The sequence below is a fragment of the Homo sapiens genome, chromosome 7, assembly GCF_000001405.40.
Source record: "Homo sapiens chromosome 7, GRCh38.p14 Primary Assembly".
In the NCBI taxonomy this organism is placed as follows: Eukaryota; Metazoa; Chordata; class Mammalia; order Primates; family Hominidae; genus Homo; species Homo sapiens.
Genome location: NC_000007.14, coordinates 130,809,118 through 130,832,140, shown reverse-complemented (window position 1 = coordinate 130,832,140; position 23,023 = coordinate 130,809,118). Strand labels below are relative to the sequence as shown.

At 37.4% G+C, this 23,023-nt stretch overlaps 2 long non-coding RNA genes and 2 pseudogenes across 6 annotated transcripts in view; 3 read left to right on the top strand and 1 right to left on the bottom strand.

Annotated features, from left to right (window-relative positions):
- Positions 1-23,023, bottom strand: part of LOC105375508 (uncharacterized) — a 119,688-nt gene that overhangs the window by 21,811 nt on the left and 74,854 nt on the right. Inside the window, exon 1 of one of the 4 annotated variants that reach the window (XR_007060526.1) lies at positions 1,472-10,137. The exons of the other annotated variants lie outside the window; for them this stretch is intronic. This is a non-coding gene — a long non-coding RNA (uncharacterized LOC105375508). Of the gene's footprint in view, positions 1-1,471; positions 10,138-23,023 lie in introns of those variants that run through there. 4 annotated transcript variants of the gene reach the window in all.
- Positions 1-23,023, top strand: part of LOC105375509 (uncharacterized) — a 41,820-nt gene that overhangs the window by 598 nt on the left and 18,199 nt on the right. The gene's annotated exons all lie outside the window — the stretch shown is intronic.
- On the top strand, positions 8,630-8,936 carry H4P1 (H4 histone pseudogene 1; annotated as a pseudogene).
- LOC347674 (armadillo repeat containing X-linked 2 pseudogene) lies at positions 8,944-9,682 on the top strand (annotated as a pseudogene).

The following is a 23,023-nucleotide window of genomic DNA, read 5'->3' as shown; positions in this document are numbered from 1 at the left end:
CTAGAACAAAATTAAAAAAAAAAATACCCCACCAAAACTGTAACATTAATGAAACTGCAATTCTCTTAAGTCAACAGCAGAGGGTGCCCTTGAACTGTGAAATATAGTCTGCCAACTAAAATCTTTACCCTTGCCAGATATTGCTGGTCCAGGAAAAAGATGGGACATTTCCAGATGAATGGGAAAGGGTAGACAACATCCAAATGAAGTCTCTGTATAAAGGGAATGTAAAATAAAAATCAAACACCTCAACTAATAAAAATTCCCTTTCACAAAATGAAGAAGAAACTGATGGACGCTACCAACCTGAATGTAACATTTTTTACCATTTGCAGATCTGAAAGAAACACCTAGAATGATACATTAAAAAACCCAGAACAGGAACAGACAAAACAAAACAAAAAAAAAACAGCAAACAAAACCCCAGGAAGAAATAAAATGAGAGTCTTGCAGTAATAGTGGAAGAGCTGCTTTGGGCCAATTCTCTTGCAAATAATGACCATCATTCCATTCCAAATATAAAAACGAACTACTTGATGGCCCTGGAGAACAACCAAAAGGAAGCAGAAAGGGAGAGAGGATTGGCACTTGGCAGAAGATAAGAATAGCACTGTGTAAACTTTCCATGTTAATGGCTTTTAGCCTGAGCGCAGGCAGCCCACAGTTCTCCTCAGAGAGTTTACTAAATCTTGGGTAGAAACCCACAGCCTTAGAAGCTTAAGGAATCAAAAGACAGGGTTTGAGGCAACCATGATGGATATAAAGATGGAGGCAGTTACGTGTTGAATGGTGTCCCCCCAACATTCATATGCTGAAGTCCCAACCTGCAGCACCTCAGGATGTGACCTTACTTGGAAATAAGGTCATGCAGATATAGTTAGTTGAGACGAGACCATACTGGGCTAGAGTGGTCCCTAATCCAATATGACTAATGTCCTTTGGGGAAACCTGGACACAGACATGCACACAGTGAGAATGACATGTGAAGACTGGAAGGTGACTGCAAGAACACATGTTCAAATGTTTCTAAACATCAAAACAAAATGTTTAAAGAGCAACGAAAACAGACTAAAGAGACATATTAAGTAAAACAAAACAAAGTAAATATAACATTAAAATAGCTATTGAACCAAACCTGTCACTCATTTCAATACATGTAAATAGAAACCCATGTATTACAAGGAAAAGACCTGCAGGTTGACCCACAAAGCAAAACCCAACTCTATGCTGCATTTAGGAGATATACCTAAACCAAAGTGATTCAGAATGGCTGGTAAAAGTCAAGAGATGTAAAAGTATAGGGCAGACAAACAAAATAGTAAGAAAACAGAGACTGTGCTAATGATACCAGAAAATGTTGAATTTGGACAAAAAGTGAGACAACAAAATATTTGATAATACCAAGAGCCACAATTCACAAAGATCACATATCAGTTATGAATATATATGACACAAATAACACAGCACCTACCTTTATATATCAGAAAGTTAAAGATATATAGGGAGAAATATACAAAACTACACTAAAATTAGGAGACCTACATTTCAGTCCAACATAAGACACAGGTCAAGTGGACAAAAAATAAGGTGCTTTTGCTTTTCTGCCTTAGGGGCTTCTGAAATCCACTGAAACTTGCTATTATGGATTGAATGTCTGTGTCCCCGCAATATTCATATGTTGAAGCCCTAACCCCCAGCGCGATGGTATTTACAGATGGAATCTTTCAGAAGTAATTAGGTTTAGATGAGGTCACAAGGGTGGAACTTTCATGATAGAATTAGCGCTCTTACAAGAAGAGACACTAAAGAGCTTGCTTGCTCTCTCTTTGGAGTGTGAGGACACATTAGCTCTCAGCAGGCAAAAGAAAGAGTCAACAATTTTGTAGTTATATTTATAAAGATTATGTAGACTGAAGAACAGAGAGAAAAAAAATGAAGAAAAATAAACAGAGCCTCGTGGAAATGTGAGACATCATTAATCACATCAACATATGCATGAGAAGGAGAGGAGAGAGAGAAAGGAGGAGAAATAATGGCTGAAAACTTCCCAAGTTTGGTGAAAAACATTAATCAATACATCCAAGAAGCTCAGTAAACTTTAAGTAAAATAAACACAAATGTTGGAGACCTAGATTGACAGCAACAAGATGGAGGGATAGGGGTTTCCAGTACTTGTTCCCTCACAGAAACATCAATTTGTAATAACTATCCATGCATAAAAATAACTTCACAACAGCTAGGAATTCAGATGAAGGATTAGAGTACCTGCGTGGAGCACAGATCTAAGAAAAGATACACTGAACAGGGCAGGACAGTGTTACATTACCCATGACAGCCTTCCCCAAGCACAGGCAGTGCAGTCTAGAAAGAGATACCCTTGATGTGGAGGAAAAACAGGGAAATGAGCACCCATATTTGCTGCAGACCCTAGCACCAGGACCATCCCAGTGAGCACTGGTGGCAGACCAGTCCCTATGGTCCCAGCTCCAGGCCTACCCTCGTGATAGGCTGGAGCCCATGACCCTGCACTGCAGGTGAGCACTTTCCCTAGCGCCAGACCAACCCCCATGACCCCACACTCCAGATCAGACTCACTGGACCCAGGCTTCAACCCCACTCTCTACTTGCTGACACCCACAGTCTCAGGCTCAAAGCCTACCTCAATGCCAGGCTGGGCCCCAGTGGAACCAGGTCTCAAGCCAGCCCCCACACAGGCAACAGGCCTGCCCTTGCAGACCCAGGATCCAGGCCTGTACACATAGACCCTGGCTCCAGACCTCCTCCTGCAAACTCAGGCACCAGGCCTGCCCATGCAGATCTAATACGTAGGTGTGCCTCAGTGGACTGAGGTACCAGGCTCACCCACCCACTGGTCCAGGCATCATGAAAGCTCTACTAAGGGCTCCAGCAGCAAGCCCACCCACAGACCCCGCTATAAGATCTGCCCAGAATCTCTTGGTGGGCTGAATGTTAAAGTGCTTTACCTGCTGAAGCCAGTCTGTAAAGACTCAAAGAGATGCCTACTTCTTCAAATGTGCAAACACTAACTCAGGCCACAAGAATCACAAATAATCAGGGGCACATGACACCACCAAAGGGACAAAATTAAGCACTAGTAATGACCCTAAAGAAATGGAGATCTACAATCAGAATAATTGGGGTATCCAATGGAGGCTGGGAAGGGTAGTGGGAAAGAGGGGGATAAGCAGGGAATGGTTTATAAATCATTTTATGGGCATAAAAACACAGTTAAATAGAATGAATAAGATCTAATGTTTGGTAGCACAGTAGAGTGACAATAGTTAACAATAATTTATTGTATGTTTCAAAGTAACTAAAAGAGTAGAATTGGAATGTTCCTTAAACAAAGAAATGATAAATGCTTGAGGTGATGGATACCCCAATTATTCTGACTTAATCATTCTACATTGTATGCTTATATCAAAATATCACATATACCCCATAAATATGTACAACTAGTATGTATATATAATAATTTAAGATAAGAAGACTTTAAATAAATAATGACAGAAAACTCCCAAATCTGGAGAGGTATATGAACATCAAGATCCATGAAGCTCAAAGAACCTCAAATAGATGAAATATAAAGAGATCTTCACCAAGACAAATTATAGTCAAATTGTCAAGTGAAAAACAAAACTTGGAAAGCAACAGAAAAGCAACTCATCACATACAAAGGAGCCACCATAAGATTAACAGCAGACTTCTCAACAGAAGCCTTGCAGGCCGAGAGAGTGGGATAATATATTCAAAGTGCTAAAGGGAGGAAAAGCCCCTTCAACCAAAAAGACTATACCCAGCAAAGCTGTCCTTTACAAATGAAGGAGAGATTAAGACTTTGCCAGACAAACAAAAGCTGGGGTTGTTCATCAACCTAGACCTGCAGTATAAGAAATACTAAATGTAGCTCTTCAAGTTGAGATGAAAGGATGCTAAAATAATGACGTGAGAACATATGAAAGTATAAAACTCACTGTAAAAGTAAGAATATAGTCAAATTCAGAATATTCTAATACTGTAATGGTGGTATGTAAGTCACTTTTAACTCTAGTATATACATTTAGAAACAAAAGTATTACAAATAACTATAGTTTCAATAATATATTAATGAATACATAATGAAACACAATATATAAAAGATGTAAACTGCGACATCAGTAACAAAATGGGGGGAAGGAAATTTTAAAGTGTAGAGTTCTTGAATGTGGTTGAACTGAAGTCATTATCAGATTAAAATACACTGATAAAACTATAAAATATCTTATATAAGCCTCAAAGGAACCACAGAGAAAATACCTGTAGCAGATACACAAAAGACAAAGAGAAAGTAATTAAATCACATCTCATGCCACTACAAAAAATTATCAAATGATAAAGGAAGATAGTAAGAAAGAAAGGAATGAAGGAACTACAAAATAGCAAATAATTAATAAAACAGCAATAGTAAGTCCTTATCTATCAGTGATTACTTTAAATATAAATGGACTCCAATCAAAAATATAATGGCTTCCTAGATTTAAAAACAAAAAGCAAAAGCGACCCAACAATATGCTGCCTACAAGAGACTCACTTTAGCTTTAAGGACACATACAGATTGAAAGTAAAGGAATGGAAAAACATATTCCATGCAAAGTGGTAACCAAATAAGAGCAGCAGTGGTGGTTATACCTATATCAGACAAGATAGATTTTAAGTCAAAAATTGTCACGCGAGACAAAGAAAGTCACTACATAATGATAAACAGAAACATTCGTCAAAAGGATGTAATAATTATAAATATATTTGCACCCAACGTTGGAACACCTAAATATATAAAACAAATATAAACAGAATTATAGGGAGAAATAGATAGCAATATAATAATAGTAGGGTACTTCAATATCCCACATTCAACAATGGATAGATCGTCCAGACAAAAAACCAATAATGAAACAGTATACTTGAATAACAAGTATAAACCAAATGGGCATGATAGACATATACAGAATATCTATTCAACAGCAGCAGAATACACATTCTTTTCAAGCTCACAAGGAACATACTCCAGGATAGATCATATCGTAGGCCACAAAACAAGTCTTCACAAATTTAGGAAGACTGAAATCATAGCAAGCATCTTTTCCAACCACAATGATGTGAAGCTAGAAACCAATAATACAAGAAAAATGAAATTCTACAAATACGTGGAAATTAAATAACACACTCCTAAACAATGGGTCAAATAATAAATCAAAAAGGAAATTTTTTAAATCTTGAAACAAATTAAAATGAAAATACAACATACTAAAATGTAGGGGATGTAACAAAAGCAGTTTTAGTAAGAGAGTTTATAGTGATAGCACCTACATGAATAAAAAACATGTCAAATAAACAACCTAACTTTACAGTGCAAAGAACTAGAAAAAGAAGAGCAAACTAAGCCCACAGTTAGCAGAATGAAAGAAATAATAAAAATCAAAGGAGAAATAAATGAAATAGACACTAGAAAAATGACAAAAAATATCAAAGAAATAGTTTAAAAAATATAAAAAAATTGATAAACTTTAGCTAAATTAACCAAAAAAAAGAAAAATTCAAAGTTATAAATAGAAGACATTACAATTGATACCACAGAAAAACAAAGGATCATAAGAGACAACTATAAACAGTTAAATGTCAACAAATTGGACAACCTAGAAAAAAATAAACTACTATGAATATATAACCTATCAACCATGAATCATGAAGAGAAAATCTGAAAAGACAAATAATAAATAAAGATACTGAATAACTAATGAAATGTCTCACATCAAAAAAAAAAAAAAAAAAAAAAAAAGCCCAGGACCTGATGGCTTCATGACTGAATTCTTCCAAACATTTAAAGAAAAATTAACCAGTCCTTTCAAAACTCTTCTTAAAAATGGAAACAAGGCCAGTATTACCCTGATACCAAAGCCATATAAGGACACTAACAGAAAAGAAAACTGCAGGCCAATATCCCTGATGAACATAAATGCAAAACTCCTCAACAAAATAATAGCAAGTTGAATCCAACAGCACATTAAAAAGATTATATGCCATGATCAAGTGGGTTTTATCCCTGGAATGCAAGGATGGTTCAACATAGGCAAATCAATAAATGTGATATACCACATTAACAGAATGAAAGGCAAAGATCATATGATCATCTCAATAGATGCAGAAAAAAAGCCATTGACAAAATTCAATATCCTGTAATAATAAAAATTCTCAACAAATTAGGTATAGAAGGAATATACCTCAACACAATAAAGGCCACATAAGACAAGCCCATTGCTAATATCATACTCACTGGTGAAAACTTCTCTAAAATAAAAAATAAGACAAGGATGCTCATTCTTGCCACTTCTATTAAGTACTGGAAGTCCTAGCCAGAGCAATCAGGCAAGAAAAAGAAAAGGCATCCAAATTGAAAAGGAAGAATTAAAATTGTCTCTTTGCAGATAACATGATGTTATATGTAGAAAACCCTAAAAACTCCACCAAAAAAACAGAATGAATGAATTTAGCAAAGCTGTAGGATACAAATTAAATATACAAAAATAAGTATCATTTCTGTAGAGAAACAAACTATCCAAAAAAGAAATTCAGAAAAGAATCCCATTTACAATAGATCAAAATAAAATACTTAGGAATGAATTTAACCAAGGATGTGAAAGACCTGTACATTAAACACTATAAACATTGATGTAAACCATTGAGTAAAACATTGATGAAAGAAATTTGTGAAGACACAAATAAATGAAAAGATATTCATGAATTGGAAGAAATGATAATGTTAAAATGTCTATACTATTCAAAACAATCTACAGATTCAATGCTTTCAAAGTTTTATAGCATTTTTTATAGAAACAGAAAAAAAATCCTAGTATTTGCATGAAACCACAAAACACCCTGAACAGTCAAAGCAATCTTGAGCAAGGACAAAACTGGAGGTATCCATCCTCCATCTAAAACTGGAGGTAATCATTTCACAATAAGTTTTTATATGTACAACCATCAAATTGTATACTACAAACACATATAATTTTTATTTGTCAATTATGCTGTAGGGGAAAATAAGAGGTAAGAGTAAATTAATCCTTTACTTTCCCCCACAGCAGAATTTAAAATAAAAGATAATTAATTTATGTATTTATTGAAAAAAACCACAAATACTGAGATCTGAAGATAAAGAGAACCATCTGAAAGTGACAAGAAAAAAATAATTACTTACCAAAGAACCCCAATAAGATTAATACCTGACTAATCGGAAACAATGGAGGCAGTAGATGGCATATAACATGAGTTAAAAGAAGAAAATCGGATTGAAGGATGAGACAGATCATCCAACAATAATGTATGGAAACCTCAGTGCCCCACTTTCAATAATGGATAGGACAACTAGGCAGAAAATTTTTTACAAAAGGAGAAGATGACTTCAACAGCAATACAAACCATCTAGACCTAGTAGACATTTACAGAACATCCCACCTAATAAAAATATAATAAAATGTGGAAACTACTGCTTCCAGAGTAACAAGAAAAAAAAAAACAGATAAAACAAAAAAACTCTCACACTTATCCCCAAAGCCATCGAGAAGTAGATACAAATAGGCATAATAAACTAAACAGCAGAGTATAGCAAGCCCTTTACATATGAGTAAAGAGTTGTGGACATTTTTATATATAGAGGCCAATGTCTACTCTGGGCATAGGTGAGTAGAGAAGTGGCCTAGCTATAGATAGAGAAATTTTTCAAAGAACAAAAAAAAAAATCCATTGAATACTTAATAATAGCATGGGCTGGCAAGACGAATTGGAATTTGGAAGAGCTCTAATGCAAACATAAATTATTTAGTCCAACAATTCCCTCTCCACTCTAAGAATTTGCTGCAAAAGTGACAAAGGGGTATCCTGAAGTATCAGTGGGCATGAGGCTAGAAACTAGAGAAAGTTTGTGCAGTCTTGAGTGTTCTGATTCTAAAGCCTAATTGTAGTTGAATCCAAAAGTCATCCAAACCAACTCATGTGGCAACTAATCTCCTTCCAGTTAAATTCTGACAGTATCAAAGGGATGAACCACTTAGTGGCAACAATGCAGGAAGCTGGGGTTAATACTGTAGCCCAATTCCAGTCTTCACATCTTAGTTGGCACTGGACAAACAACCCATTATCCCATAAACCTGAATGGAAGGAAGGATTTGAAAGTTCTGTGAAAACAAAACACAAAATATTATACAGCAGTATCCACTATCATTTATACACAATTTTTGCCTTACGGTAAAATATTGAGACATGGGAAGATGCAAAAAAAATCTGATACATAAGAGAAAGAAATCATCAATAGGAGACCCACAAGATGACCTAGACAGAGGAATTAGCAGACTTATGACTTTAAAACAACTACTATAAATATAGTTAGGAATTTACAAGGAAAGAAAGAAGGAATAGGTGAAGACATGGGAAATACAATATATGAAATGAAAAATTCATTGTGTACCCTTAACATCATATTGGGCACCACAGAAAAAAAGATCAGTGAAATTTGAACACAGGTCATAAAATTTTTGCAAACTGAACCACAAAAAGAAAAAGCATCTGTTTTGTCATGTCTGGCTGAGGCAAAGGTGGAAAAGGACTGGGTAAGGAAGGAACTAAGTGTCACTGCAAGGTCCTACGTATGACAGCCTGCAAGGCATCTATCTGCAAGCCTCCTATCTGGCATCTTGCTTGGTGTGATGGTGTCAAGAGCATTTCTGGCCTCATCTATGAGGAGATCCAGGAGGTTTTGAAGGTGTTTCTGGAGAATGTGATCCAGGATGATGTCACACCAAGCATGCCAAGTGCAAGATGTAACAGCCATGGGCGTAGTCTATGTGTTTAAGTGGCAGGGGTGCACCCTTTATGGCTTTGGTGGCTAAGAATCAAGGTTGAGATTTTGAAAATAATTTTGAATTTTGCTGAAAATCAGATATGCTAAAAAAAGAAAAAACTTCTCAGTACCCAAGTGTCTACATATTTAATTATCTCTACAATTCTTATGTGGAATAAGAAATTTTTATTGATGCCCTTACTATATTTGAGATCATCTATGACAATCTCAGAGTAGAAGTGTTCAGCTATAGAGAATTCAATAAAGCTTCCCTTTTCAAACGTATGCATTGCATTTGGAGTGTGTGTTAAGAAAATTAGAGCCTTAGCAAATCAGATGACCTCTCGGTGAAAGTGAAAGTTATAAAACTAGTGAACAAATTCTAATTGGTTATGTGCTCTCAAAAGACTTCAAGAAATTTCTTGGTTTTGCAGCTGGAGGCATTGAAAATTGAAAGTTACTGCTTTTCCACTTAGTCATATAATAAAGGGATCCTTTCAGCTGCTAGTTTTGAATAATGTCTCACCCAGAGTGATGTTATCTGTGACAGTCACCTGCTTCAAGCTGAACCATCTTATGAATATCAAATAAATAGTCCTCTTGTGCTGAAAACATATTTGTGATTTTAATCATGCTGCTTGGATTGAAATATTTTTTACTGGTTCCTCTGAATTGACAGTGAACCTGTCTATTATAAATGACATACTGTTTTGTTATTTGTTTTGACTTCAATTTATCCACCAAAAGCTTCATTTGTGTATCATCAAAAAAGTTGTATGTTTCAACTGAAAGAAAAAAAGAGAGAAAGATTGAAATAAAAATGTATAAAGAATCACTGATCTGTGGGACAATTTGAAGTGATCTAATATATATAATTCAAGTCCCGGAAGAATAGGAGAGAGAGAATGGAGAAGAAAAAATACTTTAAAAAATAATGACCAACATCTTCCCAATTTGAAGGTGAACAAACCCAAAGCACCACTAAGCTAAGGAAACCCTGAGCAAGATGAACAAAAAGAAAACTATGCTGAGGCACATACATAAATGTCAAACTGCAGAGAACCAAAAATAAAGAGAAAATCTCAAAAGCGGCTGGGGGAAGGGGGAAGGCAGAGAGGGATATATCACAGTACATACAACAATAAGAACTATGGCTGACATCTTACTAGAAACAATGGAAGCAGGCTGGGCACAGTGGCTCATGTCTGTAATCCCAATACTTGGGGAGGCTGAGGTGGGTGAATCACTTGAGGTCAGGAGTTCAAGATCAGTCTGGCCAACATGGCAAAAACCCGTCTCTACTAAAAATAAAAAAATTAGCTGGCCACGGTGGCATGTGCCTGTAATCCCAGCTACTCAGGAGGCTGAGGCATGAGAATGGCTTGAACCTGGGAGGTGGAGGTTGCAGTGAGCCAAGATCGTGCCACTGCTCTCCAGCCTGGGTGACAGAGCTGGAAAAAAAAACAAGAAAGCTGGGCATGGTGGCTCATGCTTGTAATCCCAGCACTTTGGGAGGCCAAGGCGGGCAGATCACGAGGGCAGGAGATCGCGACCATCCTGGCTAACATGGTGAAACCCCGTCTCTACTACAAAATACAAAAAATTAGCCAGGCGTGGTGGCGGGCACCTATAGTCCCAGCTACTCGGGAGGCTGAGGCAGGAGAATGGCATGAACCTGGGAGGCAGAGCTTGCAGTGAGCTGAGATTGTGCCACTGCACTCCAGCCCGGGGGACGGAGCGAGACTCTGTCTCAAAAAAAAAAAAAAAAGAAAAGAAAAGAAAGAAACAATGGAAGCCAAAAAGCAATGGGAAATCTTTAAAATGCTGAAGAAAAAAAAAGTCAACTAGAATTTTAGAAAACATATCCCTTCAAGAAGAAAATAAAAATAAAAATATTTACAAATAAGTAAAATCTGATAGAATTTGTTGCCAGTAGACCTGCACTACAAGAAATGTAAAAGGAAGTACTTCAGGATAAAGGAAATGCAATACCAATTAGTAACAGATCTATAGGAAGAAATTAAGAGTACCAAAAACAGTAAACACATTGTTTAAAATTTACTTGTTTACTTAACTTCTTTAAAGGAAAACTGACTAAAATAAAAATAAGAATACATTGTGTGGTTTACAAGATATGGAAAGTTTACATACAGATATGTTGTACTTAACAATAGCAAAAAAATAAAAACAGGATGGAGGTTATTAGAAATATAACATTATGGGCCGGGCGCAGTGGCTCACACCTGTAATCCCAGCACTTTGTGGGGCCGAGGCAGATCACAAGGTCAGGAGTTCCAGACCAGCCTGGCCAATATGGTGAAACCCTGTCTCTACTAAAAATACAAAAATTAGCAGGGTGTGGTGGTAGACACCAGTAGTCCCAGCTACTCAGGAGGCTGAGGCAGGAGAATCACTTGAACCCAGGAGGCGGAGGTTGTAGTGAGCCAAGATTGGGCCACTGCACTCCAGCCTGGGAGACAGAGCAAGACTCTGCCTCAAAAAAAAAGAAAGAAAGAAAGAAATATAACATTATGGCTGGGCGCGGTGGCTCACACCTGTAATCCCAGCAGTTTGGGAGGCCGAGGTGGGTGGATCACCTGAGGTCAGGAGTTCAAGACCAGCCTGACCAATATGGTGAAACCCCGTCTCTACTAAAAATACAAAAATTAGCCAGGCATGGTGGCATGCGCACCTGTAGTCCTAGCTACTCGGGAGGCTGAGACGGGGGAATTGCTTGAACCCGGGAGGCGGAGGTTGCAGTAAGCCGAGATCACACCACTGCACTCCAGCCTGGACGACACAGCGAGACTTCATCTCCAGAAAAAAAAAGAAAAAAGAAAAAAAGAAATACAACATTATAATGTTCTCAAATTATAGGTTAAGAGATACTATATTAACTCACAGGAGACTATGATGAGTTGGATATCTGTACCATAACCCTAGAGTAACCACTTAAAAGGGGCATAGCTAAAAATGAGAAAGGGGGATACAGTGGAATGCTAAAAAAAACTGATTAATCTGAAATAACGCAGGAAGAAAGAACAAAGGGAAAAAGAGCAGCTGGGATAGACGAAAGAAGATAGTAAGATGATAGGCTGAAACTCAACCATGTCAATAAGAAGCTTTCTGACTAAAAGCGAAGATTGTCAGACTGGATAGAAAATAAGACTCGACTATATTCTGCCTACAAAGATGAACTTTGAATATAAAGACATAGATACACTGAAAGTAAAGAGGTGCAAAAATATGTAAATACTAATCATAAAAAAGCTAGAGTGGGCCGGGCACGGTAGCTCACACCTGTAATCCCAGCACTTTGGGAGGCCGAGGTGGGCGGATCACGAGGTCAGGAGATCGAGACCATCCTGGCTAACATGGTGAAACCCCGTCTCCACTAAAAATACAAAAAAAATTAGCCAGGCGTGGTGGCGGGCGCCTGTAGTCCAAGCTACACGGGAGGCTGAGGCAGGAGAATGGCATGAACCTGGGAGGCGGAGCTGGCAGTGAGCTGAGATCGCGCCACTGCACTCTAGTCTGGGCGACAGACCGAGATTCCGTCTCAAAAAAAAAAAAAAAGCTAGAGTGATTATAGTAATATCAGACAAAGTAGACAAAGTAGACTCAAAACCAGGAGTAAGGCCAGGCACAGTGGTTCACACCTGTAATCCCAGCACTTTGGGAGGCCGAGGCAGGCAGATCACCTAATGTCAGGAGTTTGAGACCAGCCTGGCCAACATGGTGAAACCCCGTCTCTACTAAAAAATACAAAAATTAGCCAGGTGTGGTGGCACGCACCTGTAACCCCAGCTACTCAGGAGGCTGAGGCAGGAGAATCACTTGAACCCAGGAGGCGGAGGTTGCAGTGAGCCGATATCATGCCACCGCACTCCAGCCTGGGTGACAAGAGCAAAACTCTGTTCCAACAAAAGAAAACAAAACGAGGAGCATTACCAGTGATAAAGATGGACATTTCATAATGAAAAAATAGTCATTTCATCAAGAAGATATAACAATTCTAAATGTGTATGCATCTAGAAACAGAACTTCAAAAATATGCAGCAAAACCAACAGAATTGAAAAGAAGAATTAGACAATTCCACAGTTATAGTTAGTGATTTCAACACTCTATTTGATATAACAAGCAGACAAAAATCCATTAAGATATAAAAGATTTGAGCAATACTATTAACCAACTTGATCTAATTTATGTTTTTTAAATACTACATCTAACAACTGCAAAAAAATACATTTCTGTTCATGTATGCATGAAAACAAGATAAATTATGTGCTGGATTACAAAGCATGTCATAATAAATTTCAAAAGACTGAAATTGTACAGAATGTGTTCTCTGACCACAACAGAATCAAATTAGAAATCAGTAATAAGATGAGCAGATAATCACCAAATCTGTGGAAAAAATAAAATATTAATTTTAGAGGAAGCCAGGTGGAGGGTTTACAGGAACTGTCTCTGTTATTTTTGCAACTCTTTTGTAACTCCAAAAGTATTCCAAAATAAAAGGTTGTTTTTTTTAGGAAAAAAAAAAAAGACACTGAAGACAGACCACAGACTGGGAGAAAATATTCTCTTCAGATAGATGGATGATTCATTCATAGATAGATAGGTAGACAGACAAGATAGACAGATAGATAGATAGATAGATAGATAGACAGATAGATAATGTATGTGTAGATAAATAGATCTCTCCAAACTTTATAAAGAACTTACATTCAGAGTTTATAAAGAACTACTACAACTCAATAATAAGTCAAACCATCCAAATAAAAATGGGTAAATTATTTAGAATACTTAATAAAAGAAGATACAGGAATGGTCAGTAAACATATGAAAAGGCACTCAACATTATTATTAATAGAGAAATGTAAATTAAAGCCACAATGAGACACCACTTCACAACTCTTAGCATACTGATGAGCATATGAAACAAGTGGAATTCTCATTAATCACTGACGGAAGTGATTTATGGTACAACCTCACTGGAAAAAGTTTTGGCATTTCCTTATAAAGTAAATACCCACCTATCACAGAACCCAGCAATTCCGTTTCTAAGTATATCTCCAAGAGAAATGAAAATCAGTCTTCACAAAATGACCTGTACAAAAATATTTATAGCAGATTTATTCTTAATAGCAAAACCTGAAAATAACCCAAATGTTTAACAGGAGAATAGAGAAATCATGATTTAGTGCTTATCACCAAAAAGCAACAGATTACTGATCTACACAACAGCATGGGCATATCTCAAAAAAACGTTGTATATTGGGGAGATGGATACTCCATTTACCCTGACGTGATTATAGTGCATTGTATGCCTGTATAAAAATATCTCATGTACCCCATAAATACATACACCTACTATACACCCATAAACTTAAAAATTAAGAAACAAAACAAAAACATATTGTATTAGAGTTCTCCGGAGAAACAACAGAAAGAGAGACAGAGACAGAGATTTATTACTACCGGAATTATCTCACTTGATTATGGAGCCCAAGAAAGATTTCTTGGCGACCATCTGCCATCTGCAAACACCTAGGAAAGCTAGTGGTCTAATTCAGTCTGAGTCTGAAGGCCTGAGAACCAGGAGCTTCACGTCCAAAGGCAGAAGAATATGGATGTCCTTGCTCAAGACAAGAGAGAATCTGTCCTTTCTCTGCCATTTTGCTCTATCTGGGCTTTCAATGGACAGGATGATGCCCAACTACACTGACAAGGGCAGTCTTCCTTACTCAGTCTACCAACTCAAATGATCATCTCTTCTGGAGATACCCTCATGGACATGCCCAGAAATAATGTCTTACCAGCTATCTGGGCATCCCTTAGCCCAGTCAAGTTGACATAAGATTAACCATCGCACATATGGTGAGTGAAGAAGTCAGACACAAAGGAGTGCACTGTGTGATTCCATTCCTATCAACTTCACAAACAGGCAACTGATCTCTAGTGATAAAAATCAGAATATCATTCGAGACCAGACTGGCCTACACAGTGAAACCCCGTCTCTACTAAAAATATAAAAATTAGCCAGGTGTGGTGGCGCATGCCTGTAGTCCCAGCTACTCGGGCGACTGAGGCAGAAGAATCACTTGAACTCAGGAGGCAGAGGTTACAGTGAGCCAAGATTGTGCCACTGCACTCCAGCCTGGGCGACAGAGCAAGACTCCATCTCAAAAAAAAAAAAAAAAAAAAATCAGAGTATCAGTTGCCTGGGGAGCTGGGGGTGGAGTTACTGGAAAGTAGTACAAGGGAATTTGGGGGGATGATGAAAAGGTTCTGTATCATTATTTGGATGTTAGTTTCATACGTTTACACATTTGTCAAAGTCATTGAAATGTATACTTAAAATCTCTGCATATTACTGTATGTAAACTATACCTCACTAAAACTGAGTTAAAAAGGAAATTCATGGAACTTGACATTCAGAAATAAAATTTCCAATTATTAAATAAAGTTTTAAGTATATTTTATTTCTACCATTCTGCTGTAGTTATCAGAGAAAGTATCTCTAATCAGGAAAAGATTCAGGTTTTGTGGGGTCTGAAATGTCTGTAATTTTGAAGGCCCACTGGGATTAAGAGAACAAAAATTTACAAATACAAATTAGGCATGAATGAGAATATTTATTTAAAATGATAACGTAACCAAAGGAAATTACAAAATTTTTAGAATCTGACAATACCACAAACATCACAAATCCAGTATTTTTATTCATTTATTGCCTGACCATCCTCTGTGATATTTTCCCCTACATTTTTGGCTTCATACGATTTGAACATCCATTTATATGACAATGATTTTGTAATATCATTTTCATAGAGATAAGCGAAAGATAATTTACACTCCTAGCACGGTTGATGTAATTTTTTTATGGTTGGTTATTGGGATGTGTAAAAGGTGCAACTTCATCTGCAGAAACTGTTGTTTGTGGTTGTGCTACAGTTTCATGCCCTGGAAATAGTCTTTCATGTGATTCCCATAAAAAATGTATGGTATATTTGTAGCTGGATATACTGCCTCATTGAACATATTCCTCATAAAAGAGTACTTTTATTCTGGCTAGGCATATATGAGAACCAAATCCTGAGCTTGTAATTTTACATGTTTAACAGCTGCAAGAATTCTCTGTGGATCAGCATCTATTTCCATACATTCCAAACCTTGTTCTACCAGCACCACATAATTCTGGTGCTAGACACACACCCTTATTGCAACAAGATCGTCAGCCCACACTTTTATGTCACGACGCTAAATGAATTGGCTCCCTGGGTAACAGCAGTACTCCTGGAAGCCCTCTCTGCACCAGGACACCTAGCAGTAACATAACTCTATGGAAATGACAGCAAATCACATAAATATATTCTGTAAGCCCTAAAATAAATGTATCCCCAGCCTGATTTCACCTTAGTCAGATCTAAGTAATGCCCAAGGCCATCCAGTAGCAGTCAACCTGAGGAAGCATGTGACCAAGGAAAAGTTGAAGAAGGAAGAGCAACCCTAACTGACAGTGGTTAAAATAAACATTGTACTTTTGGGCCGGGCACAGTGGCTCACGCCTGTAATCCCAGCACTTTGGGAGACCGAGGCAGCCGGATCGCCTGAGGTCGGGGGTTCGAGACCAGCCTGACCAACATGGAAAAACCCCATCTCTACTAAAAATACAAAATTAGCCGGGCATGGTGGTGCATGCTTATAATCCTAGCTACTCAGGAGGCTGAGGCAGGAGAATTGCTTGAACCCAGGAGGCAGAGGTTGCAGTGAGCCAAGATCGCACCATTGCACTCCAGCCTGGGCAACAAGAGTGAAACTCCGTCTCAAAAATAAATAAATAAATAAATAAATAAATATAAAATACTGTACTTAGGCAAATTTTACAGAAACACATGGCCATTTGAACACATTGCTGGAACTCTTCCTGGGAACTTGGAAAGGGCCTGTGCAAGTGTGTGGTCCTGAAGATTAGTTTTCATTAAATCTGTTTCTGTCTCTAATTCTTTTGTGTGGACACTTCTTGAGAGCCTGCTACTCTTGTTCTAATTATGCAGAAACCTCAGCTGTTTCCTTTTCTTCCAAAAAAAAAATCAGACTTTTGTGTTTGATTTGTGTTTGATGAGGGAGCTGTCCAGTTCCTACACAAGATTAATGAACAGGCCTTCAAACACTTTCCAAATCCTAAATTATACTGCAATTCTTCATTCAGAGGATGCAAAAGGAAGAAAGCCCAAATAGGAACTCAGTGCTAGCAAATGCACTAATTTGAACCACAGCGCCCTCTTTGGGAAATGAAAACCTTTCTTGATATAAGGTTTCCATTTATCCAATATCCAAAATAGGTTTTCATTTATCCAAAATAGAATTTTGGTGGAGTTGGATCTCAAAGATTTTGTTCAATATCTCCCATTACAATGAGAATTAAAAAGGAGAAACAACTAAACGGAAACTTCAAAGGCATATAGAGAGGGATATAAGGATAGCATCTGGAAAAATTCAGTCTTTCTGCGAAATACTTGCATGGGACACTGGAGTCAGTTATTTTTGCGAGAATAAGTTGATTATATCCTCGTGGAAAGAAAATTTAGACCCTCTGGCCACCTCAAATCCTTTCTGGAGCAAGATATAAGGGATATGGCCAGGCGTGGTGGCTCACGCCTATAACCCCAGCCCTCTGGGAGGCCGACGTGGGCAGATCACCTGAGGCCAGGAGTTCAAGACCAGCCTAGTCAACATGGCAAAACCCCATCTCTACTAAAAATACAAAAACTAGCCAGACGTGGTGGCATGCACCTGTAATCCCAGCTACTCGGGAGGCTGAGATGGGAGAACTGCTTGAACCCAGGTGGTGGAGGTTGCAGTAAGCCGAGATCACACCACTGCACTGCAGCCTAAGTGATAGAGTAAGACTCCATCTCAAATATATATATATATATGATATGTACATAAATTAATAAATTCATACATATATAAAAATCTGAAAGCTTCCTCAGTTCCACTCAGCTCTACTCCACTCTGGAGGCAGTGTGATACAATGCTAAGTGCACAAACAAGACTCAAGCAGACCTGGGTTCTGGTCTCTGCTCCACCACTCACTACCTTTGTGACCTTGGGTATGTTAGTTAACCTTTCTAAGCCTCAGTTTCTCATTTGCAAAACATTAATGGTACCTACTTCATCAGGCTGTTGTGATTATTCAATGAGATAATATGTGGAGATCATGTAGAATAATGTGTCACACAGTGAATATTCAGTATATGTGAACTATTGTGGTGGTTGTTATTATACGGCTTAGAATCCTTGCTCTGACACTTACTAGCCAGGAAACCTTAGGGAAATTATATAACTTTTCCAAGCCTCATTTTCCCCACCAATAATATGCACCTCTACCTTACAGGATTTCTGTTACAACTGGAGATAATACAGCTATGTTTAATGTATTTGAGACATTTAGAAATGGAAATTTCTACTTGTGAGTGGAAAGCTCAGTAAGAAATAATGATGTGTTAGAAAATAATTTTCCAATCACACTGACCTTCATTAAACAGGACACCATTTAGGATAGAAAATTAGCTGTGAAGCAAAAGAAACTATCACCAGAGTGAACAGGCAACCTACAGAATGGGAGAAAATTTTTGCAATCTATCCATGTGACAAAGGGCTAATATCCAGAAGCTACAAAGAACTTAAACAAATGTACAAGAAAAAAACAAACAACCCCACCAAAAAGTGGGCAAAGGATATGAACAGAAACTTCTCAAAAGAAGACATTTATGTGGCCAACAAACATATGAAAAAAAGCTCATCACCACTGGTTATTAGAGAAATGCAAAACAAAACCACAGTGAGATACCATCTCACACCAGTTAGAATGGCGATCATTAAAAAGTCAGGAAACAACAGATGCTGGAGAGGGTGTGGAGAAACAGGAACGCTTTTACACTGTTGGTGGGAGTGTAAATTAGTTCAACCATTGTGGAAAACAGTGTGGCGATACCTCAAGGATCTAGAACCAGAAATACCATTTGACACAGCAATCCCATTACTGGGTATACCCAAAGGATTATAAATCATGCTACTATAAAGACACATGCACACGTACGTTTATTGCAGCACTGTTCCCAATAACAAAGACTTGGAACCAACCCAAATGCCCATCAATGATAGACTAGATTAAGAAAATGTGACACATATACACCATAGAATACTATGCAGCCATAAAAAAGGATCAGTTCATGTCCTTTGCAGGGACACGGATGAAGCTGGAAACCATCATTTGCAGCAAACTAACACAGGAACAGAAAATCAAACACCACATGTTCTCACTCATAAGTGGGAGTTGAACAATGAGAACACATAGACACAGGGAGGGGATCATCACACACTGGGGCCTGTTGTGGAGTGGGGCGCTGGGGAGGAGATAGCACTAGAAGAAATACCTAATGTATACGATGGGTTGATGGGTGCAGCAAACCCCCATGGCACATGTATACCTATGTAACACACCTGCGCGTTCTGCACATGTATCCCAGATCTTAAAGTATATATATATATATATATATATATATATATATATATATATATATATATATATATATATATATAAATACTAGGTAGCAACAAAAGAAAAGTCATGTAAAACATGAGACTTGAAATAGAAAAAAAAAGAAAATTAGCTATGAAATGTGGCCTTGGATTGTCCAATGAATGGAGCTAAGTATACAGATGTTAGTAGCTGCATCCAGTTGAAGCTATTTGACATGGGAGAAGTGTAGGGTATAATAGGACATAGTTTTTTTGTTTTGTTTTGTTTTTTTTGAGACAGAGTCTCGCTCTGTCATCCAGGCTGGAGTGCATGGCAGATCTCGGCTCACTGCAAGCTCTGCCTCCCGGGTTCAAGAGATTCTCCTGCCTCAGCCTCCCAAGTAGCTGGGACTACAGGCTCCCGCCAGCACGCCCAGCTAATTTTTGTTATTTTTAGTAGAGATGGGGTTTCACCATATTGGCCAGGCTGGTCTCGAACTCCTGACCTTGTGATCCACCCACCTCAGCCTCCCAAAGTGCTGGGATTACAGGCGTGAGCCATGGCGCCTGGCCAACAGGACATACATTTTTAAAGATATATGTGGTAGCCAGCCTCCAAAACAGTCCTCAAATGCTTCCTGCCTTCTGGTATTTACCTTTGGGTAACTGTATCAAGAGTGGACCAAGAGAATATGGAAGAAGTATATCACTTTTTATACTGACTGATAATTCACAGACAAAGTCTGTGAATTTTAAAGTGTATAATTTGCTGATTTTTAGTATGTTCACCAAATTGTGCAATTACCACCACAATCTAGTTTCAAAATATTTTCATCACTCCCAAAAGAAACTCTGTACCCATTAATAGTAACTTCCCATTTATCCCTCTCTCCCATGCACTGGCAACCACTAATCTACTTTCCATCTCTATGGATTTATGGATTATAGATTTATGGAAAAGTCATAAATAGTTAATTCAGGAGCTTTCATATAAAGGAAATCATATAATAAGTAGCCTTATATATCTGGCTTTTTTCATTTAGTGTAATCCATGTTGTAGCGTGTATAAATACTTCATTCCTCCTTATGGCTGAATAATATTTCATTGTATGATTATACTACATTTTGTTTATCCATTCATTAGTTAATGGACATATGGGTTTTTCCCACCTTTTGACTGTTATGAAAAATGCTGCCATGAACTTATTTTTATTCTTTGTTGTTCATCTACATTAGTATTTAGGACTATGAATTTTCTAGATCTGATACTCTCATGTCCAGCTTTATTGTATTATGAGCAGAAGCTGTGATACTGCAATTTTTTTTTTACTATGGATTGACATTTTACTTGTAGCTTAGTAGCTAATCAATTTTGGAAACTAATCATGGGCACTTAAAAACAAGATGTATGCTTGGCTTTCAGGTGTGGAATTTTATATATCTCTATTAGATATACTTATTAATTACCTTAGCAAAGGTAGGAGGTAGTGAGTGTAAATATGCCAGTTTCCTCATCTTCTATAATAAAGAGTTGACATAGTTCAAAGCTGATAAATCAATATGAGAAATATTAGCCTATTATTTAAAGATATGACAATAATATTGGGTAGCCAAACCTAGGTGTGAAGGAAGGATAGGGAGGTGAGGTGTCGAATTATACTTATTTCCTCATTTTTCAAAGTGGGAATTCAATATAAATCCAATTATAAGGTAAAAAATGACTTAGTGTATTATGTCAATAACCAAAATATGTGAGATAACTGTGCCATTATAAGAAAACAATACTCACATTGGATCAGAAAGTAAAATCATTTATAAAGAACACACCTAAAACAAAGTTACTCATAAACTTGAAAAATAAGAGGACAGGGTGATTCATACATGGCAAATTAAATAAAGAGAATGCAGAGACTTTAATATCAGGCAATGGGAAACTGAAGACAAAGGACATTAAATGAGGCAAACATGCCATTCCACATTGATAACTTAGCAGTCATGACCACTCACACCCAAATAAACAATCAAAACAAATGAAGAAAATATTTAATTGCACTTTTTGAATTGTCTTCTTAGTGGGTTCTCTAGGGATTACAATAGGCATCTTAATTTATCTCAATCTACTTTATGCTAATGCTCATAATTCTGGTAAAACACAGAAACTTTACTGCACCATAGCTCTATTTTCTTCTCCCTACTTATATTTTTAGATGCTATTTATATATTTATATTGAATATACTTATGTTTTATATATTGATATAATTTGACATATGCAGATATGGCATATATATGTGCTATTACATCTATGTACATTATAAAACCAACAATAAAGTGTTATAATTATTGCTTTAAACAATCTATGTCTTTTAAATAAGAGAAGAAAAGAAAAATGTATATATTTATCCACAAATTTACCATTTTTGATGTTCTTTAATCCTTCCTGTGGATTTGCATTCCTGTCTGTTCTTGGAAAGCAGGTTTGATATCAGTTCTCTCAGGCCCTGTTTATCTGTTTATCACTTTATTTTATTTTCATTGTTGAAGGATAGTTTTTGGAACCCTTGCTTGCCAGATTTTTCTGTTAGCACTTTGAATATGTCATTCACTGCCTGCTAATTTCCACTGTTCATAATGAGGAGTCAGTTGCTAATCACATTACTGCTTCCCCTGTACATTTGTACAGTTATTTTTCTCTTGCTGTTTTCATGATTTTCTCACTGTCTTGGCTTGACTATGACATGTTTAGTTGTTAATATCTTATGTTTATCCTACCTGGAGTTTGTTAAGCTTCCCAAATTTGGGAAAATGTTGCCACTATTTCTTCAAATATTTATTTACCCTCTTATTTTTCTATCTCTTTTCTGGGATATCCATTATACACATACTGATATGAGAGAGAATGACAGAGGGCGGGGAGGGGTTGGGGTAGAGACAGAGACAGACAGAGACAGAGACAGACAGACAGACAGACAGACAGACAGACAGGGTTGACACTTCAATCTACAGGTCTCCTCTACCCCGACACACTGATTCTTGCTGATGTGATAGGCCCACTTATTTCCTTTTTCATCCTCACCTCCTTAGACACTTGGTGCTAAGCAGTCATCAGGAAGTCCCTGAAGCTAGACAACACACCTCCATTTTGTGATTTCAAAAAAACTGTCATGAGCTTGTTCTGTGTGTCAGTTACTTACACAACTCAATGCCCCACTGGCTCTGTGGGAGGCCATCACAGAGAACAACCTCACTCAACAGTCCTCCACTTTAATTGGCTCAGCACTCAGCTACTTTCCCTACACATTATGGTTTAAAGTAATAGGTGTTTTCAAGATTAACTAAAGATGTATTTTATTTAGGAGAGAAAGCAGTCTTCTTAAACAGAAAGTTCTTATTGGCTCATTTATCCACCTCTTTGATCAGCAAATATACATCCAATCTCAGCAAAGTATTTGTCATTGTGCGAGATGCTGAAGACATCAAATATGAAAAAGACCCTGCATTTCTGTCTCTAATCTCAGTCCTTAGATAGGTCACTTTTAAAACTACGTTAAGAGTACATCGTGTGGTAATTATTAAATAACTCCTTAAGAGTGATCTC